At 46.1% G+C, this 4,116-nt stretch overlaps 1 annotated feature.

The window, feature by feature from the left end:
* Nucleotides 1,976–3,175: an enhancer, noted in NCBI's record as "MED14-independent group 3 enhancer chr1:27518736-27519935 (GRCh37/hg19 assembly coordinates)". NCBI's record gives its function as "activates an origin of replication core promoter dependent on BRD2, BRD4, P300/CBP and CDK7 cofactors, and independent of MED14, by STARR-seq in HCT116 cells {active_cell/tissue: HCT116}" and the evidence as "EXISTENCE:reporter gene assay evidence [ECO:0000049][PMID:35650434]".

The following is a 4,116-nucleotide window of genomic DNA, read 5'->3' on the forward strand; positions in this document are numbered from 1 at the left end:
TTTTTAGTAGAGATGGGGTTTCACTGTGTTAGCCAGGATGGTCTTGAGCTCCTGACCTCGTGATCTGCCCATGTCAGCCTCCCAAAGTGCTGGGATTAGAGGTGTGAGCCACCGCGCCTGGCCAACAAAACATACTTTTTAGTAATTAAAAGAAAATCACCTAATCCAAACTCCGCTACCACCACCCACCACCCTACACCCAAATCTACTCAGTGCTCAAATATATCTAACACAAGCCATGTATATAATTGAACACATTCTGGTAACTACCAAAAAAGTAAAAAAGAAAGAGGTGAAATTAATTTTAATAATATGTTTTATTTAACTCAGCAAATCTGAAATATTATCTTTCAACATGATATGATTATAAAAAATTGTTATGGAGATTTTTTTGGTATTAAACTGTCTTGCTGAGTGTGGTGGCTCACGCCTGTAATCCTAGTACTTTGGGAGGTCAAAGTGGGACAACTGTATGAGTCTGGGAGTTCGAGACCAGCCTGGGCAAGATGGCAAGACTCTGTCTCTACAAAAAATACAAAAATTAGTTGGGCATGGTGGCACATGCCTATAATCCCAGCTACTAAGGAGGCTGAGGTGGGAGGACTGCTTGAGCTCAGGAGGTCAAGGCTGCAGTGAGCCATGATCGAGCCACTGCACTCCAGCCTGGGTGACAGAGCAAGAACCTGTCTCAAAAATAGTCATCATCATAATAAATAATAAATTTTAAAAATCATCACCATGTAGACCATTTCATGTGCTCATTAGCCACATTGGGCTGGTGAATGAAGCACAGACTTACAGGGATCCTATTCCATCCTCAGACCACTCTGATAGGAAGTTTTCCACTAGATGGTAAAATAATGCTGACTTTGTTTCTTCTTTAGGCTTTTTCTGCAAAGTGCTGGATTACAGGCATGAGCCACTGCACCCGGCTCCTGATTTTTTTTTTTTTTTTTTTGTGAGATGGAGTCTTGCTCTGTTGCCCAGGCTGGAGTGCAGTGGTGCCATCTCGGCTCACTGCAAGCTCCGCCTCCCGGGTTCAGGCCATTTTCCTGCCTCAGCCTCCCGAGTAGCTGGGACTACAGCACCCGACACCACGCCCGGCTAATTTTTTTGTATTTTTTAATAGAGACAGGGTTTCACCATGTTAGCCAGGATGGTCTCAATGTCCTGACCTCGTGATCTGCCCGCCTCGGCCTCCCAAAGTGCTGGGATTACAGGCGTGAGCCACCACACCTGGCCTTTTTTTTTTTTTTTTTAAGACAGAATCAGCCGGGCTGTTAATCCCAGCTACTCAGGAGGCTGAGGCAGGAGAATCGCTTGAACTCAGGAGGTGGAGGTGGCAGTGAGCCGAGACCGCAGCACCGCACTGCAGCCTGAGTGACAGAGCAAGACTCTGTCTCAAAAAAAAAAAAAAAAAGAGAGAGACAGAGTCTCTCTATGTCACCCAGGCTGGTCTCAAACTTCTGGCCTCAAGGGATCCTCCCACCTCAGCCTCCCAGAGTGCTGAGATTTGAGATTACAGGGGTGAGCCGCTGCACCCAGCTCCCTTGACTATCTCTGCAACTTCTCTGTAAATCTAAAATGATTCCAAATAAAAAGTTTATTAAACACAGATATTATATATTGTGGGTATCATATTAGGAATCCTGGGGGGAAAGGCAATAATAAAAAAAAGATTCTGACTTGGCTCTGGTTGAATAACAAAGAAGAAAACAATGAAAAAGAAAAAAAAAAAGAAAAGAGACCAAGCAGAGACCTCTGAGGCTGCATTTCAGGAAGCATGGGGAAGGGGTGGAGTAGAGTAGTAAACCAAATGAAATTGTAGGTTGGATCAGGGTTAAGTTTTTGGGACTTTATCCTGTGGCATGGGGAGTCATTGAAGGCTATTGAGCAAGGGTGTGGCCTGATTACATAGTGATTCAGCCAAGGTCACACAGTCCAGCTTCCCTCGATCCTTCCCTCCCCCTACCCACTGCCCCTCCCTTCCACGTGCTCTTCCATCTTTGCCTCCAGAGGCCTAGCTCTGGCACGACTCTAAGTCACTAGCATAGAGATGATCACCTCCACTGCCCACACCTGCCCTAGCCTTGTTCAGGTGTCTTTAAAGACTCAACATTTTTTTGTTTGTTTGTTTGTTTTGAGAAGCAGTCTCTGTCGCGCAAGCTGCAGTGGCGCAATCTCGGCTCACTGTAATCCCCGCCTCCCAGATTCAAATGTTTCTCATGCCTCAGCCTCCAGAGTAGCTGGGATTACAGGTGCGTACCACCACACCCAGCTAGTAGAGACGGGGTTTCACTGTGTTGGCCAGGTCTCAAACTCCTGGCCTCCACCTGCCTCGGCCTCCCAAAGTGCTGGGATTACAGGTGTGAGCCACCACGCCTGACCCTCAACATTTATTTTTTATTCTCGCTCTGTTGCCCAGGCTGGAGTGCAGTGGCGCAATCACACCTCACTGCAACTTCAAACTCCTGTGCTCCAGTGATCCTTCTGCCTTGGTCTCTTGAGTAGCTGAGACTACCAGTGAGGCTCAACATTTAGAATCTCAACATGCCACACCTGGTAAGGGCTGGCACCATTCCACCGACCCAGCACAGAGACCTCTTGGGCAGGGAGTTGCAGGGTGGAGCCTTATGCAAAATTCCACAAGTTCTAGGTTGAGTCATTTCTTCCACCACACCCACTCTGCTCACTCTCTCCTCCCCCAGTGAGATAAGTCCAGTACATCGGTGGAGGAAGGGGGCTCAGCAGCAGAAGATGGGGAAGACGGGGCTTCAAGGCTAAACCAGAATATTGTGCCACCAGGAGAATTGTCAATTCTCTCTTCAACGAGCCTTCTTGAAACCACACATATGCCCAGGTCAGAAGCTGGGAAAAGGAAGTTGGATAGAAAAAGGAGTTGAAGGGGAATAAATGTATTTGTGTAGTTTTTTCCTGCCAGCAATAGCAGCAATGAGAGTTCAAGGCTAGAATTAATTAGACTCTCACACCCCAATTAAGCCAGTTTTCTCCATCCTGGTTGTTAACAAAAGGCTAACATTATTAAACAATCTGTTCTGTGCCAGGCACTGTATGTATAACTTCATTTGTTCCTTATGGCAAATTTGTATTAGTATACCCATTTTATAAATGAGAAAACTGAGGCTTGGAGAAGGTAATGATGTGTCCAGGTTTACGCAACTAGTATGTGATGGAGCTGGCAAAGAGCAAAACCAATTCAAGTCTTCAGAAGACTGCATGGGTTTAAAAGTGCTCTGGGGGAATTTCATCTTTCAGGGGAGAAGGAAATGGTTTTATAGTAAAATCCTTATTCCTTTCAGGGTATTCAGTGCCTATTTCTGACCCCTGCCGTGACTGGAGTGGTCACAGCATGGAGAGAATCTCTGACCTCAAAGCCATGCCCTTCTTTTTGCCCAGAAGGGTGCGTCGCCATATCTGCATGTGTCCCTCCTCACTTCATTCAGGTCTCTGCCTAAAAATCAGAGAAGCCTTCTCTGATCACCCTATCCAAATGACAACCTCCATGTGTAGCCTCATAATCAGTCTAATTTGTCTTCATAGCACCTACCACGCCTTGACATATTTATAGACATTTCTTTGCTTATTGTCTGTCTCCACCCACTAGAATGTAAACTCCAGGAGGACAGGACCTGGTCTGTTTTGTTCACTGCTGTATTCTCAGTGCCTGGGATGGTGCCTGACATATAGTAGGCCCCTAACAAATATGTGGGTTTTTTTGTTTGTTTGTTTTTTGTTTTTTGTTTTTGAGACAGAGTATTGCTCTGTTACCCAGGTTGCAGTGCAGTGGCACGATCTCGGCTCACTGCAACCTCCACCTCCCAGGTTCAAGCGATTCTCCTGCTTTAGCCTCCTGAGTAGCTGGGATTACATGCTTTTGCCACCATGCCTCACTAATTTTTGTATTTTAAGTAGGGGCAGAGGTTTCACCATGTTGGCCAGGCTGATCTTGAACTCATGGCCTCAAGTGATCCACCCACCTCAGCTTCCCAAAGTGCTGGGATTACAGGTGTGAGCTCCCACCCCCAGTCACAAATATGTGTTGAATGAATACAAAGGGAAAATTCAGCTTGCTTTCACTAAGAGCATTTGACACTC

This window comes from Homo sapiens, chromosome 1 (genome assembly GCF_000001405.40).
Source record: "Homo sapiens chromosome 1, GRCh38.p14 Primary Assembly".
In the NCBI taxonomy this organism is placed as follows: domain Eukaryota; kingdom Metazoa; phylum Chordata; class Mammalia; order Primates; family Hominidae; genus Homo; species Homo sapiens.